At 41.3% G+C, this 23,826-nt stretch overlaps 3 pseudogenes, 1 gene segment (V, D, J or C) and 1 further gene; all 5 read right to left on the reverse strand.

Moving 5' to 3' along the window:
• IGH (immunoglobulin heavy locus) overlaps nt 1-23,826 on the reverse strand; it is a 1,293,408-nt gene that overhangs the window by 981,800 nt on the left and 287,782 nt on the right.
• On the reverse strand, nt 10,506-10,941 carry IGHV5-51 (immunoglobulin heavy variable 5-51). The segment is given in 2 exon segments: nt 10,506-10,812; nt 10,896-10,941. Coding segments are annotated over 2 exon segments (353 nt in total), but the record flags the coding sequence as incomplete, so codon positions are not given.
• IGHV8-51-1 (immunoglobulin heavy variable IGHV8-51-1 (non-functional)) lies at nt 15,265-15,571 on the reverse strand (annotated as a pseudogene). Its single transcript is given in 1 exon segment — nt 15,265-15,571. A coding segment is annotated over 1 exon segment (307 nt).
• IGHVII-51-2 (immunoglobulin heavy variable (II)-51-2 (pseudogene)) lies at nt 16,478-16,740 on the reverse strand (annotated as a pseudogene). The gene is given in 1 exon segment: nt 16,478-16,740. A coding segment is annotated over 1 exon segment (263 nt).
• On the reverse strand, nt 18,140-18,590 carry IGHV3-52 (immunoglobulin heavy variable 3-52 (pseudogene); annotated as a pseudogene). The gene is given in 2 exon segments: nt 18,140-18,446; nt 18,545-18,590. Coding segments are annotated over 2 exon segments (353 nt in total).

Genomic DNA, 23,826 nt, shown 5'->3' on the forward strand with positions numbered 1-23,826 from the left:
GTCGTGTGGTCATTCCTGGTATTGACAACTACCTTCTTCCACTACCCATTCTGTATTTGTTTTGCCTTCAGCAAGTACCTTGGCTGGTCAGGATTTTTAATCTGGGTGAAGACCCAAACTTTTATTTCTGAAGTATCTGGGCCATTTGTATTCCTGCCTGAATTAGGTTGTTTTTTCCCATTGATCTTAATCCCATGGCAAAGTAATACTAAGAGATGTCCTAAGAAATCTCCTGTATTCCAGACATACTCTGTCTCACCTCCATTGTGGAGTAGTAGTCTGATTTCAAATTGATAGTCCGGGTCAATCACCCCAGCCATTCAAATGAGAGAGGTTTTTTTTTTCAATTTATGTAAATGCATATCTTTGAAATTTTGAATGGGATTGCATTGAATCTGTAAATGCTTAGGTTAGGATGGACATATTAACAATGTATGTTCCAGTAACACAAGAACACAAGATAGCCTTCCATTTATTTGTGTTTTCTTACATTTTAATCAATATATTATAATTTTCAATGTGCAGATATTTTGTATCCTTGTTAAATTTATTTTGGTAAAATTTATTTTATGAATTTTAAGCTGTTGTATTTAGATTTATTTTCTTGATTTTAATTTTGAATAATCATTTTTTAGTGTATACAGAAGATGCTTATTTTTGTAGGTTGATTTTTGTTTAATTTCAATAGCTTTGGGGGTAAATATTTTTTTGTTAGATGGAGGAATTATATAGCAATAAATTCTGAGATTTTAGTACATTCATCACCTGAATAGTGTACACTCTACCTAAAGTGTAGTTATTTTCTCTCTAGTATCCATCCTATTCTTTCCCTTCTGAGTCTCCAAAGTCCCTTATATCACTCTGTATGCCTTTGCCAGTTCATAGCCCATCTCCCACTTGTAAGTGTGCAAACACAGTTTTTGCTTTTCTACTCCTGTGTAACTTCACTTATACTCATTACCTCCAGCTTCATCCAAGTTGCTGCAAAGGACATTATGCCATTCCCTTTAACGGCTTGGTAGTATTCCATGATGTATATATGTCAAATTTTCTTTTTCTTTTCTTTTCTTTTCTTTTTTTTTTTTTTTTTTGAGGCAGAGTCTTGCTCTGTCACCCAGGCTGGAGTGCAGTGCTGCAATCTCGGTTCACTGCAGCCTCTGCCTCCCGGGTTCAAGCAATTCTCCTGCCTCAGCCTCCCGAGTAGCTGGGACTCCAGGTGCACGCCAACAGGTCCGGCAAATTTTTTGTATTTTTAGTAGAGACGGGATTTCACCATGTTGGCCAGGATGGTGTCGATCTCCTGAGCTCGTGATCCGCCCTCTTCGGCCTCCCGAAATGCTGGGATTACAGGCGATGTCACATTTTCTTTCTGAACTCATTGGCCAATGGGCATTTAAATTGGTTTCACATATTTTCAATTTTGAATTCTGCTGCTATAAACATACATATACACGTCTTTTTCATATAATGACTTTATTTCCTTTGGGTAGCTCTCCAGTAATGAGATTGCTGGATCAAACAGTAGATCTGGCCAGGTGTGATGCTGCACGCCTGTAATTTCAGTAATTTGGGCTGCCGAGCGGGGAGGATCAGCTGAGGTCAGGAGTTGGAGACCAGCCTGGCCAACATGGGGAAACCCCTTCTCTACAAAAATTCAAAAAACAATTAGCCAGGCATGATGGTGGGTGCCTGTAATCCCAGATACTCTGGAGGCTGAGGTGGGAGCATCACTTGACACGGGAGGCGGAGGTTGCAATGAGATGAGATTGCACCACTGCACTCCAGCCTGGGTGACTGAGAGAGACTCCATCTCAAAAAAGAAAAAAAAAATAGTAGATCTACCTTTCTGCTTTTCAAGAAATCTCAATAGTGTTTTCCATAGTGGTTATACTAAATTACATTTTCATCAACAGTGTATAAGCATTCCCTTTTGTTTTTTGACTTTTTATAGTGGCCATTCTTGCAGGATTAGGTGTTATTAGATTGTGGTTTTAATTTGTATTTTCCTGATGATTAGTGATGTTACACAGTTTTTCATATGTTTGTTGGCCATTTGTATATCTTCTTCTGAGAACTATCTATTTATGTCCCTTGTCCACTTTCAAATGGGATCGTTTGTTTTTTCTTGGCGACTTGTTTTAGTATTTTGTAGATTCTGAATATACCAATTTTTTGTCAGATGTGAAGTTTGCACATATTTTCTCCCGTTCTGTGAGTTGTCTTTTTACTCCATTGACTCTTAGTTGTGCTGTGAAGAAACACTTTAGTTTAAATGGGTTCCATAAATTTAGTTTTGTTTTTGCTGCATTTGCTTTTGGGGTCTTAGTTATAAATTCTTTGCCTACCCTGATGTCTAAAAGTGTTTTTCCAATATTGTTTTCTAGAATTTTTGAGTTTAATGTCTTATATTTCAGTACCTGATTCATCTTGAGTTGGTCTTTTATATGGTGACAGATAGAAATCCAGTTTTATTCTTTTACATGTGGCTTGCTAGTTTTTCTTGTACCATTTGTTAAATGTGGTGTCTATTTTTCAATTTAAAATTTGGTACATTTTGCAAAGCATCAGTTGGATTTACATATGTGGCTTTATTTCTGGGTTCTCTATTTTGTTCCAGTGGTCTATGAGCCTACTATTATGTCAGTGCCATGTTGTTTTGGTAACTGCAGCCTTGTGGTGTAATATGAAGTTCAGTAATGTGATGGCTCCAATTTTCTTTATCTTATTAGGATTTCTTTGGGTATTTTGGCTTTTTTTTGGTTTCAAATAAATTTCAGCGTTATTATTTTTGAATTCTGTAGAAAATAATGTTGGTATTTTAATAAGAATTTCATTGATTCTGTAGATTGCTTTAGGCATTATGGTCATTTTCACAATAGCGATTCTTGCAATCCATGATCAGGGGATGCATTTGCATTTGTTTGTATCATCTATGATTTCTTTCAGCAGTGTTGTGTAGTTCTCCTTGTTGAGATCTTTTACCCTTTTGGTTAAGTATATTGGTAAATATACTATCTTTTCGCAGCTTCTGTAAAAGGGATGGAGTTCTTGATTTAACTCTCAGCATTGCTGTTGTTGATATATAGCCGTGCTACTAATTTGTGTACATGTATTTTGTAATCTGAGACTTAACTGAATTCATTTACTAAAACTATTAGTATTTTGGAGGAGTCTAGGGTTTTAATATATATAATCCCTTGATCTGTAAACAGTGATAGTCTGACGTTCTCTTTTTAAATTTGGATACCCTTATTTTTTTTCTCCTGACTAATTGCTCTGGCTAGAACTTCCAGAACTATGTTGAATAGAATTGGTGAACTTGGGCATCCTTGTATTGTTTGTGTTCTCAGGGTAAATGCTTTTAACTTTTTCACATTCAGCATGATATTAGCTGTGGATTTTTCATATGTAACTTTTATTAGTTTGAGGCAGGTTTCTTCTATGCCTCATTTATTTACAGTTTTTATCATTAAAAAATGCTGAATTTTGTTGAATGCTTTTTCTGCATCTATTGAGACAATCGTAAGGTTTTTATTTGTAATTCTGTTTATGTGATGTATTACATTTATTGACTTGAGTATGTTCAAATAATCCCTGCAATTCTGAGATGAAACACGCTTGATCATGAGGAATTATCTTTTTGATGTGCTGTTGAACTCAACTAGCTATTTTTTTTTTTGCTATTTTTGCATCTATATTTATCAGGGAAATTCATCTGTAGAGTGTGTGTGTGTCTGTGTGTGTGTGTTTTCCTGGTTTTGGTATCTTGGTTATACTAGCTTCATAGAATAATTTAGGGAGGATTCTTTTTTATCTAAATTTAAAAAATAGTTGCAGCAAAATTGGCAGCAATTCTTCTTTAAATTTTTTGATAGAATTCAGCTGTGAATTCACCTGGCCCTATTTCATTGTTGTTATTGTTGGCAATTCTTGAATTACTGATTCAATCTCACTGTTTGTTATTTGTCTATTCAAAGTAACTGTTTCTTTTTTATTTAATCTAGGAGTGTTGTATGTTTCTAGAAATTTTTCCATTTCCTCTAAGTCTTCTACATTGTGCACATGAAGGTGAACTTAGTAGTCTCAAATTATTTTTTATATTAGTGGTGTAGATTGTAATGTCTCGTTTCATTTCTGAGCTTATTTGGATCTTTGATATTCTTTTCTTTGTTAATCTAGCTAATGACCCATGAATTTGTTTATTTTTTCAAATAACCAACTGTTTGTTTCATTGCTTTTTTTTGTTTGGATTGCATTTAGTTCTGCTCTGATCTTTGTTATTTCTTTTCTTCTTCTGGCTCTATGTTTAGTTTGTTCTTGTTTCTCCAATTTCTCAAGGTGTGACATTAGGTTGTGAATTTGTGCTCTTTCAGACTTTTTGATGCAGGCAGCTGGCACTATAAACTTTCCTCTTATCACTGCTTTTCCTTTATTTTTGAGGTTTCAATAACTTGTCTCATTATTATAATTTAATTAAGATAATTTTTAAATTTTCATCTTGATGTAACTGTTAACCCAGATATTATTCAGAAGCAAATTTCTTAATTTCTATGTATTTGTTCATTTTCGACAGTTCTTTAGCGAGATGATTTTTAGTTTTATTCTGCTGTGGTCTGAGAAGATACTTGATATGATTTCATTGTTTTAAAAATTTATTGAGACTTGTTTTGTGGCCTAGTATATGCTCTACCTTGGAGAATGTTGCATGTGCTGATTAGAAGAATGTATATTCTGCAGATCTTGGATAGAATGTTCTGTAAATATCTGCTGCATCCATTTGTTCCAGTGAGTCATTTAGGTGCATTGTTTATCTGTTGACTTTTTGTCTCGAAGATCTGTTTAGTACTGTCATGATTGTACTAAAATCTCCCATTATGATTGTTTTGCTAACTCTCTCAGTTTTTTAGGTCTAGCAGTACTTGTTTAATGAATCTAGTTCCTCCAGTGTTTGGTGCATATAAATATGTAATTGTAATTTTTTGTTGAATTGATCCTTTTATCATTGTATAGTGATCATCTATGTCTTTTTAAATTGTTTTTGCTTTGAAGTCCTGTTTTGTCTGAGATCAAAAATAGCTAGTCCTGCTCACTCCTGGTTTCTATTTTTGTGAAATTCCTTCTTCCATGCCTTTTATGATTTACATTCAATGTGAATATTTAGATATGAGTTGCTATTCTCTTTGTCATGTCATTACCTAATTTTGTTTATTCTTTGATATTGTGTTATTGTTTTATAGGCCCCGTGAGTTTTTAATTTTTAAGAGGTTCCATTTTTGTGCATATTGGCCTTTTGTTTCAAGGTTTAGAACTTATTCTAGCATTTCTTGTAGTGCTGGTTTGATAGTGATGAATTCCCTCAGCATTTGTTTTTCTGAAAATGACTTTATTTCTTTTTTATTTATAAAACAGTTTGGCGGGATAAAAAAGAATTCTTGGTTGAAAGTTTTTCTGTTTAAGGAGTTTGAAAATAGAACCCTAATCTGTCTTGCTTGTCAAGTTTCTGCTGAGACGTCTGCCATTATTCTGATGGGTTTCTTCGTTTTACTGCTCTTAGAATTATTTCCTTCATGTAGACTTTAGGTAGCCTGATGACTGTATGCTTGGTGAAGGTATTTTTGCAATGAATTCCCCAGGAGTTCCTTGAACTTTTTGGATTTGGATATCTAGGTCTTTAGTCAGGCCAGAGAAGTAGTTCTCAATTATTCCTTCAGAGAAGTTTTCCAAACTTATTATTATTTTTTCTTCTTCAGGAGCACCAATTATTCTTAAATTTGTTTGTTTTACATAATCCCATATTTCCTGGAGACTTTTTTCACTTCTTTTGGCTCTTTTTAAATTTATTTTTCTCTGATTTGGTTATTTCAATAATAGTCTGGTCTTTCTACTTTTTTCTTTAACTGTTTCCTTTTTCTTTTTCCTCGAATATTTTACTTCTACTTTTATTTTGTACTGTTTCTAGTCTATTGTTATTTCTGCTACTTTTTTCTAGTCTATTTTTCAAACTTTCCATGGCATTTTGTAATTCCCTTTCCAATTCCCTGCATTTTTTTAAATTTTCAGGAGTTCTGATTGGTTTCTCTTTAGGATGTCTATCTCTCTGTAAAAATTTGTATTCATATTCTCAACAGTTTTATAAATTTATTTATTATGATTTTTGCCTTTTTCTGATATCTTCTTGAGTAGCTTATCAATCAACATTCTGATTTTCTTTTCTGATATTTCAAAGACTCCATTTTTGTTATGGTTTATTGCTGGAGAGGTAGTGTGACCTTGTGACCTTTTGGCACTGGCACAGCACCCTGTTTTCTCATTTTTCCCCAGTTATTTTTCTCATTTCCTCTCATTTTGGTAGATTTTCTAATTATTATTGAATTTATGTTTGATTTGACTGTTTCTTGTGTTTGTTTTTAAATGGATTTTTTTCCCTTAAGAATGAGACTTTAATGCTTATAATTAATTACAACCTGATTTGGTTTTTGGTCCTTAGAGGGGTGAAGACTCTGTAAGAGTTCCGGGGTTATGGAGAATCTTTGTATGATGGCTTTCCTATGTGTTGATTGCAGTAGAAATCTGCTCGGTCTGTGAGCAAGTTCACTGTCTTCTATGGGGTTAGAATGGTAGAGGTCTCTTAAACCTTATCTCATTCCTCTGTGGCATGCACATGTTTATTTTATTTGTCCCCAGTGATTTATTTATTTGCTTGATGGCTCAAGCTTCACATCAGTGGAGGACTTTTCCTTGGGTAGAAACTAGTTGTGGCTAAAGCAGGTGGGTAAATTAAGTCCCAGCCTTGACAGAGTTGGCTGAAAGAGGTTTTAGTGAGTCCCACTGAGGTCTTATCGGTGGGAAGGGTTGGAACCACCTCAGCTCTCTTGTCAAGTCAGTAGGAAATTTATCCACCTCTCAGACATACTGCTGTCCCAGTATTCCGGCTATTCAGATAAGACAGGCATGTTTTTTCATCTGTACAAATGTTCATGTGCCAAATAGAGAGGAACTGTGACTCTCTGTCTCATGCAAGCCTGAATCCAGAAAGTGCTGTTTCTGGGGGATGCAGTCACAATGATGTGTTCCAGAAAGGCTGTCTATAGTTGCACCCATGCTGAGGTCTTGTGGGAGAGACCCCAAGTGTGCCTACAGTGGTGTACAAGGGGGAAAGGCTTCCTCTTCTTCAAGATTCTTCACAAGCAACAGGGCTGTCTGTTGAGAAAGAGCTGAAGACTTTCCCAGCTGAGCCCAGTGCTGCAACTGTACTTCTGCTAGAAGAAGTTTCCCACCAGTGGAGGGATCTGGTGTCCAAGGCCTGCCATCCAGATTCTCTTGTCCCATGAGGTGTTCCCTCAATGTGGTGCACTCCCTTCCCCTAAGAGGAGGAGAACCTGGGAGCCATGGTACTGTGAGTTATGTTTCTTCTCTAGGTCTAGCTGCCCAGTGACGTTGACACACTTCAGGCTGGTGTGGGCAAATGTCTCTAAGTGATCCAGTGATGTGAACTGTCCTCATATTTTTCAACAGTGAGCAGCAGAACCGGGTCTGATGGGAGTGGCAGGCAGGAGAGTGAAGGAGACTCTGTGAAATTCCATGGATATTGATAGCCTTTGTGTACTGGCTTTCTTGAATGATGGTTATAGTAGCAATGAACTGGTCACATGGAGAGACTCAGGATCTCCTGGTCATCCAAAGTGGTGCAGGCCATGGTGATAACTGAGATCGCACAGTCATTTTCTCCTTCCAGGATGCAGTGTTAGTCTACTAGGAGATGCTGTAATGCATGGTTGGTTGGCCTCCAGCTAAGAGGTGGTGCTTGCAAAAGAGCACCAGCTGCATTATTAGCGGTGGGATTTTTGCAAGCCTTGTGTTGCCCAGGTATGGGGGCTACTATGGATTCTTAGGCAGTGGGTGTGGCTATGTAGCTCCCAAAAGATGCTGTCTTTTGTGTTAAGCTGCCAGGGCAGGTGGCTGCACAAAGCAAGGTGAGGGTTGGGCCAGGTGGGTTTCCGCTCTGAGTCTCTGTATGCAGGGCAAGCAGCAGCCCCTGTGGGTGTGGGGGACAGGGGTGGTTCTCAGGCCACTGGGATGATGTTCCAGATGGGACCATGGCTGCCTCTGCTGCACAGAAGTTTGGGCAGGGGGTGGGGAGTGGCAGGTGGTGGTAGGCCCCACACAGTTCCCACATACTTGGTGAGGCTGATCCACTCCCGTGGTGTTCCACTGGCAGCAGTGAGATGAGTTTCAGTCAATCTGTGATCAATACCTGCAAATGCCAGGAGTCATAGGCTGTCCCCATGGAGACTGCAGCCATGGGTTTCATGCCATGCCCCTTCCTGTCTGCTGCAAAGCAGGGCACCAGCTCCTGCACCCATGGCTCCTAAACTTGCAGAGCCCACTTTTAACACTTCCCTACCCAGGCCCTGGCCAAGGGAGTTCGTCCCAACCCTAGGTTATATTACACACCCCTGTTGAGAGCTACTTTCAACTTGGGACCACTGGCTGAAATTTTTGGCTGTTCTCCCTCAAATGCTGGGGACTCCCAGCCCTTCACCTGACTCACAGTGTAGGCTGCAGCTTCCTGCTTTTTCAGAAAGTTTGTAGATTATTTCAGTGTTTCTGTTCAGTTCCTGCATTGCTTCTTGAAAATAAGTCCGCGATGTTCATCTCTCCACATCAGTTTGTCCTTCCAAGTGGAAGAGGTATACTAGCAATGCCTCTAACCTGCCATCTTGAAATGTAAGTTTGATTTTGGATTCTGCAACTTTATTGAATTTCTTCATTAGTTTCAATCTTTTTTGGTGGAGTGTTTAAGGCTTTGTATAAATAAGAGCATGTAATATGTAAAAATATATTTTATATTTATTCATTACTATATGGATGACTTCTATTTTTTTCTTCTGGCCTGTTTTGTCTAGACCACCCAGTGCTGTGTTTAATAATATTGGTGATAGTGAAGCATCTTGTCTAGTTTCTAGTCTTAGAGGAAAATAAAATTTTCATCACTGTGTATGATGTTAGATGTGGGCTTGTGATATGTGGTCTTTATTATGTTGAGGTATATATGTTTTATGCATAATATGTTCAGATTTTTAAAAATTAGAGTGTAGTGGATTTCGACAGAGGCTCTTTCTGCATCTATTGACATGGACATATGGTGCATATGGTTTTAGTCCTTCAATATTTTCATTTGATATATCACATTTATTTCTGCAGGTTGAAACTTCATTGCTTCCTAGAGATAAACCACACCTGATCATGGTGAATTCTGTTGTTAATGTGCTGTTGAATTTGGTTTCTCACCACCCTTGAGAGTTTTTGAAACTAGATAATCAGGGATATTAGCCTGTAATTTTATTTATTTGGAGTGTCTTTTCCTTGCTTTGGAAATAGGACCTTCCAAAATAAGCTTGCATGTATTTTTTCCTCTTTATTTTGTTGGAAATTTGTATAGAGATTCTAGTTTTTTTTTAAATTTTTGATAAAATTCAGTAGTGAAGCCATGAAGTTCTTGACTTTTCTTTGATTTGAGATGTTTGAAAAATCACTGACTCAATCTCTTTACTCATAGGTCTGTTCAGTTTTTTTTTTCGGGATGGAGTCTCACTCTGTTGCCCAGTCTGGAATGCAGTGGCTAGATTTCGGCTTATTTCAACCTCTGCCTCCCGGGTTCAATCTCTTCTCTGGCCTTAGGCTCCCAAGTATCTGGGACTACAGGCGAGCACCACCATGTCCAGCTAATTTTTGTATTTTTAGTGGAGACAGCGTTTCTCCACGTTTGCCAGACCGATATCGAACTCCTGACCTCAGGTGATCCACCGGCCATGGCCTCCCAAAGTGCTGGGATTACAGGAATGAGCAAACACACCCAACCCAGAGTTTTTATTTCTTTATGGTTCAGTTTTGATAGATCGTATGTTTTTAAAAATTTATCTTTATTTTAATTTATCCAATTTTTATGAAAGAAGTCTTTATTACACCAGAATACTTATGAATTGGCACAAAGATGAATTATTCAGTACATATTATTGAAAGGAAAACAATCACCAAACAAAGATAACCTATTAATAGTTCAAAAAGGGGTTAAATGATTTTGTAAAATTAAGTAGAAAATAAAAGAAGGAGTGAGTGAGAGTGGACAGGAGGGAGGAAGGCAAGCAAGCAATGATGAACTGTGTAAAATTTTCACTAATTAAAATACTGTCATATTGGAGAGGTGCCTGTTAGGCAGCCTTTTGATGTTAACCATCTAATATACACCATGAACAACCTTGTAGAACACACAAGAGCCCCGTCAGAGAATCCACCTCCCATGGTCAGGTCCCCTATACAGTTGCCTTAGGGGCTGGGAACCCTCCCACATTGTTCTCTGGTTCTTGCTCCTGAGGACACAAACAGCCAGTGTTTCCTCCCCGGATGAATAGAGAGGCCCCTGGGGAGTGAGTCTCTAGCAGCTCATTCTGCACCTGCGGTGTGGAGGGTTTTAGACGGGCTCGGGGCTGGTTTCTCTCACTGTGTGTCTCGCACAGTAATACATGGCGGTGTCCGAGGCCTTCAGGCTGCTCCACTGCAGGTAGGCGGTGCTGATGGACTTGTCGGCTGAGATGGTGACCTGGCCTTGGAAGGACGGGCTGTATCTGGTATCAGAGTCACCAGGATAGATGATCCCCATCCACTCCAGGCCTTTCCCGGGCATCTGGCGCACCCAGCCGATCCAGTAGCTGGTAAAGCTGTATCCAGAACCCTTACAGGAGATCTTCAGAGACTCCCCGGGCTTTTTCACCTCTGCTCCAGACTGCACCAGCTGCACCTCGGCACAGACTCCTGTGGGGGAGACACAAAATTTGAATCAGGGGCTCCTTTCCACCCGTTCTCCTCTGTGACCTCAAGCCCTCGGCAGGACTGACCTTGGAGAACAGCCAGGAGGAGGGCGAGGATGGCGGTTGACCCCATGATGGTGGAGGACAGAAAATGAAGCCCTGAGATCCCAGCTGGGCAGTGAGGGAGACTCACTGTGGAGGGGAGCCCTGGGTTTAAGTGGGGAGGCCCCCACTTGCATTTGCATAGTTGTCACCCTGCCCTGAAGGGAGGAGTCTACAGCGTTTATAACCCAGAACCTCAAATGCAGAAAAAGGCTGGCCTGAGCCTCCTGGGAGGGGCAGAGTAAGGTCTCAATAATTCCTTACACCCTGCTATTGTCCCTCTCCACTCTTTTCCATGTTTCTTCGAGACCCATACAGGGCCTCCCTTCTTCCACCCTTCTCTGTGACCCTGTGAAGGTGATAAATCTAGTTGAAACTATGTGTGTTAAAAAAAATGAGAAATAGTGCCAGGAAAGGCCATGAAGAGAAAATTCAAATGCACTTATGCCTGATAACAAGAACTACTAAAAAAACTACTGTCTATTCCCTGGCAATTTCGTGTGAGTTGGACTACGGCCTGGGCATCAAGCAAGGGCAGGACCACCTCAGGACCTCAACAGTCCTCAAGATGATTAACTTGCCAGACCTTCACCCATGCAAAATCGCACATTTTTCCTGGCCATTTTGTCTTCTAGATTTTTACACTCTGCCAATTCAACATGAATAGGGAATATTTGTTTAGGTCTCTGACTTGCTGATGGACCTGAAGGGATGCCCATTGCTGCACCCAACTCCTGGTAGTGCTGTTTTAAGTCCTTTGTGTCAACCCCAGCACCTTCTTGTTTAGTTCTTTCATTTTTTAACATTTATTTTATGATATCCACATTGCTTGGAGGAGGCCCTTAACTATCCCCTTTGTCTGCCCCATTTTTTTGTGAAGCACTCTCATTTCATTAGCACCTAAAAGATCCAGAGAAAAAGCCAAAGCAACACAAACTACACAAGTTCTGAAACTATACAGGATCTGATATCCAGTGCACCAGGGAAGCTGTCTCATCAAGAACATCCTACTTGAGGTTGGGATCAGCTACGTCTGTCATATGTCTGTTGTGAGCTGTGGGTCCAGCATCCTCCCAAACATTCTCCTCTCATCTGCAGCACACGAAGCCAGAGAAGCTGCTACGTCAGTCACTCTCATAGTCCATTGGCTAACTTTGTTCACAATCCGATGATATAAATTAATGATATCAATCATATCACAAAATGATGCCACTTTCCATGCTGTCCTCCTTGTTATAGTTGTCTAGTGGATTCCTCTCCCCAGCCCAAACTCTGGGCTACCTTCTGTGTCACTCTTATGTGTTGTGTGTTGTTTCTGGACAACTGTACCCTTTGGTGGTGAATGGGAGTCTAGCAGCCTCGGCTCACAGGGCACACTGCAGGGCTGGATGTGCATCTTTTTACTATTATTTTAGCTATCACAGATATGAATTGCATATTCGGGTTGTTCCTCATTATTTTTACTTTTCCTTTTTCAGGGAACAACTCCTAGGAAGCTGTATCTGTTGTTTCTAAATTCCATGGATTACTTTCACTTCCTGCTCCTTATTGGAGTGTACATGCCATCTCATGCCATATGATTCTGTAGCCATCTGGGCATTGAATGTCTTTTATCCCGCACTTTCTCATCCTTTGATGTTATAAAAAATCCTCTAGCCATGCGTCAGCAATCAGGAACTTTCTAGCATTCTCCAACTCTGATGTAATTGTGTTGAGTGTCCCAAGACCATCCTCAGGCCCCTTAATCAGTACAAATAAAGGACACAAGAAAAGCTGTTATTCTCATGGGTGCAGCTTTATTATAGCGAATGAATATGAATTAAAATGAGCAAAGGCACCAGGGAGAAGGCCCTGAGAATCCAGGCATGAGCTCCCAGGTGTTCTTTCCCTGAGGAGTCTCTTGTCCCCAGTTCTCCCAGCAGTGATGCATGACAACATGTGTGAAGCATTGTCCACCAGGGAAGCTCACCTGAGTGCTTGTGCCCAGGGCTGTTTATTGGGCCCATCACAGATGTGTGTGACACCTGCACAATTGACCTCCAGTGCTCAGACGCCGGCCTCTTGAGCACTAATAGGCATTCACCATAAGTCATTATGAAAACAGCTAGTATAGCGTGCACCCAGGCTACACACACAGAGACACAGACAAACACAAACAAAAATACATTTTAACTAATAAAATAATCACAATATTAAGAGAGATAAGAGGAATGTTTTGGAAGTGATTTCTATGGTTATGACCTTGATGATGGGGATAACTTTGCAGATGTATACTTACTCCAAACTCAATGAGTTAAGTATGTTAAATAATGTGTAGTTTTACAGATGTAAACCTTATCTTAATCAAGTGGTTTAATAATACTACCAGGAGGAGTATGCCAAAAAGGCAGATATCATCTCCCAGGAGCTGAATATGGGCCTAGCTTGAGAAAGCACTTTTTCAGGAATGTTCAGGGTTTGCACAACCCAAGACTGCTCGGTAAATCCTTTCCTGTACACAAGTCCAGGTGAGATGGAAACAGGCTGTTGGAATAAAAGGCAAAGCTCAGAAGAAAAGAGAGAGGAAGTGGTGGACAAGGTATGACCCCATGTAGGGTTAGTGTGGATGGGAGGTGCTGCTGAGAGCCTGTGGATGGAGAAGAATGTGGACCAGGGGCAGGAGGAAAAAAGGCAGAGGAGGGGTTCTTCCTGAGCCAAAGCAGATGTTTCACGGAGAGTGTGGGCAGGGGCATGCACAGGCACAGGCAGGTGCCATGGAGTAGGGGAACCATTGGGGTATAGACCCAGGACAGAGCATAAAAAAATACAGACATTCCCAAGGGAGAAGGCACAGAAACAATGACTGACAAGCCTCTATCTTGGGCTTCCATCCATATATCAAAGACAAAGTTAACTGGTTTTCCCACTCGATAGAAATGACTGAATCTCACAGTCATTTCTGAAACACACAGTTATTGGTACTCACATGTTCTGGACAAAATGTTGACATCCCAAAATACACTAGTATAGAAAAAAATAAGAATCTGCTTCTAACCAGTTTGTAAGTGTTCAAGAGCAATTCAAGAGATTCTGACATTAGATTTATGCAAATATATGGTAACAATTTGTCTCTTCAAACTTATACTCCAATAATAATAAGAAACAAGTGACAACAATTGGCATTGTACTATTATTTCTATCTACAATGATGGTAATTTTTGAGGCGTGATAACCTAAGTGTCCTAATTCTGAACCCACATTTAGAACTGAGCAGAGATCACTAGCAGCAGAAGTCCCCCACATGGAGACACACCTGACTCAATAAAGCTGCATTTAGGGGTCTCTGCAAGCTCCAAGGTGTGGAGAAGCAGCTCCCACCTCAGACAAAGTTGGATCAATTTCAGCTCTTTCTCTGAGGAAGGTGAGGCTTACTGTGTGGGAAGGACCAAATTTGCTCTACTGAAGACCTCTGCACCTGAACCAAACCAAAGTATGTGATCCCCATGTGGTTTCAGCCTGGATTGAACAATTGCTTAGGAGAAGGGCATGGTCTGACAAACCCCCACTCAGAATTAAGAAATAATGCATTTATTCAGAAGAAATGGGGACATTACAATTGTTTACAGACTGTTTTCTTGATCCTCTGTGTCATCTGAGAGAAGCAAGAAAAATCATGGTTTCTATATAAAAATGCATAAACAGTGTATTGGCTCTGAGACTGCACCTCCCATTTCTTCAACATCAGGGAACCCATAGACCAGGCATCCAGCTGCTGTTCTCTGACACCCATCACCTGGTTAATGCAAAGACACATGCCCTGGGAGCTCCTCCCAGACAGTGATTACATACAGTGGAGATTCTAAGGCATGTCTGCTGCTGGGACACAGGAGTGATCCCTGATGGGTGGGTTTGGCCCAGGAAGGCATCAATGGCTTTACTAGGCTTAGAGAGGGCCATGGCATAATTAGGAGGTTTTATCAGTGTTCCCTGATTTTTTATGTCTTTGTTGTCAGATGTGCATCCACGTCGCACAGTTTCCACAGCCTCCCTGGCCTCCTGTGACATCTTCTGCCTCAATTAATGATGTATTCTTCAGGGGTATATGAGAATTTTTTTTTCTAGTAGTAATCTTTTCCAATCCAGAGGCCTCAGTGGTAGGCAGAGAACCATAAATATAGAGAGGCTCCCAGGAGAACGCATTTGATGCAGAAGAAGCCACAGAACCTGACAGGAAAGCAGCCCTTGAACTCCACCTGCCCCTGCCCTGGGCTGCTCCTGTCTTCTGTGGGTGCTGAGTGCCCCCTTCAGCCAAGCCACCCCCTGTGTCCTGCATGGCAGTCTGTCTCTGAGCCCACGTGGACTTCCCATCACGATGTTTCCTGCACAGTTAAATGCTGCCATGTTCTGGGTTCTCAGGCTGATCATTTGCATGTACAGCATGTACTTGGTGTTGTCTCTGGAAGTGGTGAGTCTGCCCCTAACATAGTCTGCATTGTATTGATGACTTTCACCACGCCATATAACTGCAACCCATTCCAGCCCCTTCCCTGAGGCCTGGCAAACCCAGTGAATCTCATAGATACTGAAGGTGAACCAAGAGGCTGCACAGGAGAGCCTCAGGGGCCCCTCTAAGTGTACCAAGTCTCCCCCAGACTCTGTAAGCTGGGCCTCACCCTGGATACCTGAAAACACAGAGATATTCTGGTTAGAAACTGTCACATAGCCACTATTTCTTTCACAAACATCCGCTTGGCCTCCCAAGATGTGCTGGAACTCAAGGTCACCTTTGAGGGCCTTGGTCTACTGTGAGGTCATTACCTTCAGGAATCTGCAGCTGTAGGGAAGGATCAGGAGAGTGACTTCTAACTTTTTGCTCACCAGTCCTGAGTCACAGAAATTCAAGTGGAGAGTTTCACATGTTTAATTCTGTGAAGGCACCAAATAATCTGAAAGAATACAAAAGCACACATACAAGCATTGATGAAAACAAAAATTAACAATTTAAATTTTAAAAGTCACATAAAAAATCACTGGCATTTGGATTTAATTTTCTTTGAAAAATTAAAGGCAAATATTTGTAAAACTGTTATTTTTAAATCATATGGGAATATATTCTTAATTAGCCTATATACTGTCAACGATTGCATGTGTGTGTATTTGTGTGTGAGAGAGAGACAGAGAGAGAGAGATGGAGAGAGAGAGAGAAAGAGGGAGGAAGAGAGAGACAGAGAGAATATAGACAGAAGGAGAAACAAAAAAGGAGATAAATCTTATGTAAAAGTATTATACTTTATAAGGTCCTTGAATAACGTGAGAGATGTTGTCTTTAATGGTCACATAAGGTGGAAACTACAAATTCTTACACTAGATATGATTATACACGTATATAAATACCATTTTCTAATTATATTAAACACACACCTCAGCATAGGCATAGTGTAGAGTATCTAATGGTGAAACGTGAGGGTGACAGGAAACCCGTTCTCCAGCTTGGGCCCTGTTTTCATGGAGCCTGAGTGCTCTTTGGTGGTCCTGGGCCCCTCTCCAGGGAAGTTTGTGTCTGGGATCACACTGACATCTCTTCTGTTCCTCTCACAGTAATACAAGGTTGTGGCATTGTTGGTCACAGAACTCAGCTAAAAGAAAATTTGGTTCTTGGACGTGGATCTGGAGATGGTGACTGAGCTCATGAGGAGTGGGTTAGAATTTGTGCTCCCTCGTGACCTATGCCCTGATCCACTCCCTTGACTGAGGACTGGCGGATCCAGCTCCAGCAGGAAGCACTAGTTGTGATGGAGAATCCAGAGACAGCACAGGTGAGGGAGGGGGTCTGTGAGGGCCTCACCAGGCCAATAAATGACCATGAAACACAGTGGTTGGTGTGCATGGCTTCTGGAAAACACACTGAAATTCCTACATACACACATTTTAGTAAGAATGAAGAATTCACTTTTGTTCAATTTGTGAGATTTATAAACAATTCAGTAGATTCTGAGAATAAATTCAGGCACTATGTGGTAAACTCGCAACCAAATTAAAAAGAAATGACTTTCAGGGGCATGGACATTGAATTGTTTTCTTTTACTATAAAGAGGGTGATTTTCAGAATAGAAGTGAGGCATGATAGCCTAATAGTGTCCTAATTCTGCACTCACAGTTATATCTTAGCAGAAATCGGAGGCCGTGGAGGTCACCCCTCCTGAATGAGAAAACACCCAAGTCTATAACACTGCACGTGGCAGTCTCTGCAGGCTCTGAGGTGTGCAGGACCAGCCCCTACCCCACACTCAGGAATAGTTGAAGTCTCTGCTCTTTCTGTGGGGGAGGTGAGGCTTAGTGTGTGGAAAGGTCCAAACTTACTCTACTCTAACTCTCTGAACATGGACAGAAGCCAAAAATATGAAAATCATGTGGACTCATTCTAGATTCAACCATTCCTCATGAGAAAGGTGACTCTACGGTGGGACCCTGCGCAGAATTAAGGATTAACCATTTGGGGTAATTGTGGAAATTATAATTATTTGCTGACTGCATGGTTGCTTCTTCTATGTCTCCTGAGAGAAGCAAGTAAAATCGTGGTTTCTACATAAAAATCCATCAACAATGTCTTGTCCCTGAGAATGCACCTCTCATTCCTCCAGCATTAGGGAGCCCATGATCCGGGCACCAGCTGCTGCTGTCTGACGTCCATCACCTGGTTTGTGCCAAACACACACATCCTGGAAGCTCATCACAGACAGTGATTGGGCGCAGAGGAGACAAAAAGGCACGCGGCTGCCGGGCACATGGCGGATCCCTGATGGGCACCCAGAGCTCAGGGACTTAGTTGGACTTAGTTTAGACCACATGGTAGTTAGGGAGCTCCATCAAACTCCCATTTCTCCGTCACTGCTTGTGAAACTTGAATCATAGGCAGACAGTGTCCACAGCCTCACCCAGCCTCCTGTGCACTTTCCTTTCTCCATTAGTGACACCTGCCTTAAGGGCGTTTGATAGTGGTTCCTCCTGTAGTAATAAACTTTACAAACTTAGAAACCTCAGTAGCACATCACTGTAAATACAAGAGGCTCCCTGCGGAACTGTTAGATGAGAGGAAGCCACAGACCCTGAAGGAGAGCAGCCCTTGACCTCCACCTGCACCTGCCCTGGGGCTGCCCCTGTCCTCTGTGTATCCTGAGCGCCCCCTTGTGGCTCCAGATGCCCCTGCAGGAGGTTTGTGTCTGGGCTCACACTGACCTCCCCTCACTGTGCCTCTCACACAGTAATACACGGTCATGTCCTCAGCTCTCAGGCTGTTCACTTGCAGATAGAGGGAGTTCTTGGCATTGTCTCTGGAGATGGTCAATCGGCCCTTCACAGAGTCTACATAGTATTTCTCACTTCCGTCACACTTTATGTCGGCCACCCACTCCAGCCCCTTCTCCGGAGCCTGGCAGACCCAGTGCATCCAGGAGCTACTGAAGGTGAATCCAGAGGCTGCACAGGAGAGTCTCAGGGACCCTCCAGGCTGTACCAAGCCTCACCCAGACTCCACCAGCTGCACCTCACACTGGACACCTGCAAACACAGAGACACCCTGGTCAGAAACTGCCGCACACATCCACTGTTTCTCTCACTCATATTCACTTACATTCAACTCATTCCCCATGAATCACCTTTCAAAATAGCAACAAGGAAAACCCAGCTCAGCCCAGACTCCATGGTGAGTCCTCTGTGCTCAGCCCTGAAGACTAAATGGAAAGACCTGGGAATCCTGGAGCTGGGGCTCCTCTCCCAGAGCTGCAGGGTCAGGGCTGGGCTGCTTTTCATCAGCAGAGGTTTGGCTCTGTTTGCATGTCTCCTACTATATAGCAAGCTCTGGGGTGGGAATCCTGAGGAGAGTGGAGAGCCCAGAGCAGGTGAGTGTGTCCTGGGGGAGTTTAGAGATATTGATACAATTTTTGAAAATATAGTTTCTTATTATAAGTTTGTTCTGTGATAAACTCTTTAAACCTACAACTGTATTTGTAATTTTTATTTTAAAGTAATTTTATTGAGGTACAATGGACCTATGAAAACTGCCCTTATTTAAACTTAGCAGCAATCATCTTATTTTATTTTTACATATGTGGAGAAATCACGGTATGTAGTATCAATGTTATTTCCACGTTACAGATGGAAAATTACCAGCAGAAGCACAGATGGGTGGTACAATGTCCCCAGAGCTCACATTTGCAGAGTAAGCCTGGGTATCTGGGCCTGTGCTTCTCACCACCGGGCCTGACTGCCCCCGAACCAAGCCCAGCACAGCGTGGGTCACCCCCAGTGACATTTTCAGAACTTCCTTCCTGTAATGAAAGCATGGTTTGATGTGTATGCACTATTGTGTTTACCTAATGAATGTAAGAGAACACATTTTATGCAGTTGTATGTTCATAAATGTCAGACATTCCTCATGTTAGTGTCTATTTTCCATCAATCTGTACTGAACAAATTATCCATTCATTTATTTGTAATACTCTCAATGAGACATTATTGCCATACATTAAATATTGCATAAAGTGTTTGATTTAATAAGTACTCAAGCTGAGCCTGGTGGCACACAACTGTAGTTTCAGCTACTTAGATGGCAGATGCAGGAGGATCGTTGGTGACCAGAAGTTGGAAGCTACATTGAACTATGATCCCACCACTGCAGTCCTGCCTGGGTCACAGAGTAGGACCACATCTCTTCAGAAAAAAACAAACACAACAAAATGTAATTCCACTCGTGCTCACCTGTGCATCCCCAAAAACCATCCAGATAACGAACAAATAAATTACACTTAAAAGTTTCCTTGTGTTACTCTACAATTCCTCCTTCCCAATTATTTTTTTCCCTTGCCATATTCTGAGTCAATCCTTCATATTGAATACTTTGGTTTTGAGTTTCAAGAATTTATTATACAGGAATTATATAGTATGTGTTTTATGTGTGTGGCTTCTCACTCATTATAACTACTTGTGATTCAACCACATTGAGCATCAACAGTGTATTGATTCTAGTGATGGCTATGATTACCGTAAATTAGCATGCCATTACTCTTTATCTATATATCTTCTTGATATTTGCATTGTTTCTAGTTTCTGAGTGTTAGAAATAAAGATGCTACTCAGCTTGGAGATGTAGGCATCCCATAAAAATTTGTTATTATTCTCACAACTACTAAAGCTTACTGATCTGCAAATTAGCACATTTTCTTAAATTCATCAGATTTTTGATGTTATAAGACAAACAAGATATCTGAAATCTGAAGAGAGATAAAGACTTGCAGGGAAATAAACAGGAGCAGACGATAATCTTTTCTGGGACAGAGGCTGCCAAATATCATTTAAGTTACGATTAAAGTAGACATATTCATTGGATGGTTTAAATTTGAGTGTGATAGAGAAGTTATTGTTTAAATTCTCAGAGTGTATACAGTTGAGGAATTCCTCCTGCTATTGAAGCCTTTTTCTTCAGTACTGGGGACACATCACAAAATGCTCCAGCCTCTACCCCTTGGGACGGTTGTGTCAGGGTAAGCAAAACAGCAACTATAGCTGAAATGCATCCAGACACACCTCCTCATCAGCACTACATTGCAAGAGAAATTATCTGCAGCGGTAATGCCAGGAAAACCAGTGTTCTAGAGACACTGGAGAGATCAATAAGAACTGGGAGTGAAGAGAGGAATGCACCAAATCCCTGTCCAGGCCCACCTCCCATCTTCCCTTAGGAGTAACAGCTTTACTAAAAAGAAAAAGATAGTAAAGAGGAAACCAAAGAAATCAATGGGAAGACATAGTGGCTGCTGAATGAACATATGAATAAAAAAAAAATGAAGAGGCTGGGTGCAGTGGCTCATGCTTGTAATCCCAGCACTTTGGGAGGCTGAGGCGGGAGGATCACCTGAGGTCTGGAGTTCGCGACCAGCCTGACCAACATGGAGAAACCCCATCTTTACTGAAAATACAAAATTAGCCGGGTGTGGTGGTGCATGCCTGTAATCCCAGCTACTCGGGAGGCCGAGGCAGGAGAATCGCTTGAACCCGGGAGGCAGAGGTTGCGGTGAGCTGAGATCACACCACTGCACTCCAGCCTACACAACAAGAGTGAAACTCTGAATCAAAAAAAAAAAAAAAGCGACAGCTATTATTATACTCACTAGTAGAAGGTTAGAATATTTTGGTCTAATATCTGTAATAAGGCAAGAATAAAGCTTGAGGCATTTCACTTCCAGTCCTCAACATTTGTTACAAACACAGAGTAATAAATCCGAATGGTATCAGCATAAATGCATATAGAGAGCTTAGATATAAACCCACATATTGATGGCGAACTGATTTTCAGCATGAGAAACATCAACATACAATGGCTAAATTATGGTGTCTTCCAAAGAGCATGTTATGAAAACTGGATTTTCACATGTGAAGAATTAAGAATTTTAGGTTAGAATAAACACAAAAATTAACTTTAAATGCATTAAATATTTCAATGAAATTCCTGCAACTGTAAAACTCCCAATCCTCAAAAATTAGCAATCTTTTTCTGGATTTTACATTCAAAGCACATTTAAAAAAAAGCAGAATTGAACAAGTTGGACTAGATTAAAAAAATATTCTGCAAAGCAATGAAATAATTCCAACTCACAGAATTGGATAATATATCATGTATCTGAAAAAAGCGTTAATATCCAAAATGTAAATGAAACTTCTACAACTCAATAGCAAAAATAAAAAGCATAATTTAAAAATAATCAGTTTTACACCTTTAACAATGTAAGGACCTAGAACTCATGTTAAATGTTTTTCTCCATGGGTAATGGTCTGTTTTATGGTATACTTGGCTGGAAAATACTTTGTAGTTATTTGATCAGACACTAATCCAAGTGTTGGTGTGAATTTTTAATAGAGGTTATTAAAACTGTGATCAGTTGACTCAATGTTAGGTAGATTATCATTGATAACCAGTTTGGCCCTGATTCCATCAAAGCTGATCTGGAGAAGGTAAAATTCCGTGGTTAAGCAGCTTCAACTCGTTCTGAGACTTCCAGCCTGCGCTTACTGATGGCCGACCCTGAGGATATTGGATGTTTCCAGCCATCCCCCCAAATTGTCATCCCCTACATCTCACAGGAAAGTGGTGTGACCCTCTACAGCTTGTCACACCTGAATATCAGACAGAAAGAAATTCTCCAAAATCAAATAATATGTATTTGAAAATGAGCATTCCAGTGGGATTATCCCTGGGCATATTTAGGTAGGTAAAGGAAGTCAGGTTAGTAAAGGTTGGTAAAGGTTGTTTTAAAGGATAAATGAGAGGACTTACATGAGCTGTTCTGAGGCAATTATCCTGGGGGTAGAAGAATTAATAACAAGGGTGGAATCAGTTTAAGATTGTACTGGGAGTTGCAGGGCAGATATCCTCACAATATTAATTCTCTTATTGTTGTGGTAGCCTTTGTTGAAAGTTGTGGTTGTGCAGAGTAATTTTATGGTAGTTCTTGTTATCAGGGATGTGTGCATGAGAACCCTCTATTCATGACCTTCTCCAGCTTCACCTGTAAAGATTATAACACAAGTTGTTCTATTTTTATTCTGACAACGTTCACATCCTCTTCCTCACATGACTAGTGCAGAAAGTTACTCTGTGAAAGTTTATCAGAACAAAATTAGAAACACATCCACATCCCATGTTAACCAAACAAGCTTGTCCCCTTCAGTTCTCAGTCGCAACTTGCATTTCCAGATAAGTCTCCATGCAACACAGTGGAGGGCCCTGAGTGACGAGGAGTGAAGAAAGTCCCACCAGCCTCTCCCGCGTGACTGCAGCAGCCACAGCCTGAGACCCACCTGAGCGTCAGGAAAGGGCTTGAGGTCCGGAATTTTGACCACAGGGAAAAATCTTCCTTTTGCAGAAAGCAGGAAAAGCAAACGGAAAAATGAAAACAACGACTGAAAAAGGAATTAAATGGATTAGGAACAAAAGAATCACCAGATCAGTGCTGATGCTGATTTGCATATTTAGTGTCAGGAAAAGGTTCAGAGGTGAAACCTGTGATGTCCTACATGACACTGATCCTGGCCTACCCTCTATTGTCTGTGATCAGTGTAGGGACCAGCCCCACAGGGTCAGTGGGTTTCTCCCCGTGTGCGGAGACGAGAGAGCATAGAAATAAAGACACAAGACAAAGAGATAAAAGAAAAGACAGCTGGGCCCGGGGGACCACTACCACCAAGATGCGGAGACTAGTAGTGGCCCTGAATGCCAGGCTGCGCTGATATTAATTGGATATAAGACAAAGGGACAGGGTAAGGAGTGTGAGCCATCTCCAATGATAGGTAAGGTCACATGGGTCACGTGTCCACTGGACAGGGGACCCTTTCCTGCCTGGCAGCTGAGGCAGAGAGAGAGAGGAGAAGGAGAGAAACAGCTTACAATATTATTTCTGCTTATCAGAGACTGTTAGTACTTTCACTGATTTGCTACTGCTATCTAGAAGGCAGAGCCAGGTGTACAGGATGGAACACGAAGGAGGACTAGGAGTGTGGCCACTGAAGCACAGCATCACAGGGAGACTGTTAGGCCTCCGGATAAGTGCGGGCGGGTCTGACTGATATCAGGCCCTCCACAGGAGGTGGAGGAGCAGAGTCTTCTCTAAACTCCCCGGGGAAAGGGAGACTCCCTTTCCTGGTCTGCTAAGTAGCAGGTGTTTTTCCTTGACACTGAGTCTACCACTAGACCATGGTCCGCTTGGCAACAGGCGTCTTCCCAGATGCTGGCATTACTGCTAGACCAAGGAGCCCTCTGGTCGCCCTGTCCAGGCATAACAGAAGGCTCGCACTCTTGTCTTCTGGTCACTTCTCACTATGTCCCCTCAGCTCCTATCTCTGTATGGCCTGGCTTTTCCTAGGTTATGATTGTAGAGTGAGGATT

Source organism: Homo sapiens, chromosome 14 (genome assembly GCF_000001405.40).
Source record: "Homo sapiens chromosome 14, GRCh38.p14 Primary Assembly".
In the NCBI taxonomy this organism is placed as follows: domain Eukaryota; kingdom Metazoa; phylum Chordata; class Mammalia; order Primates; family Hominidae; genus Homo; species Homo sapiens.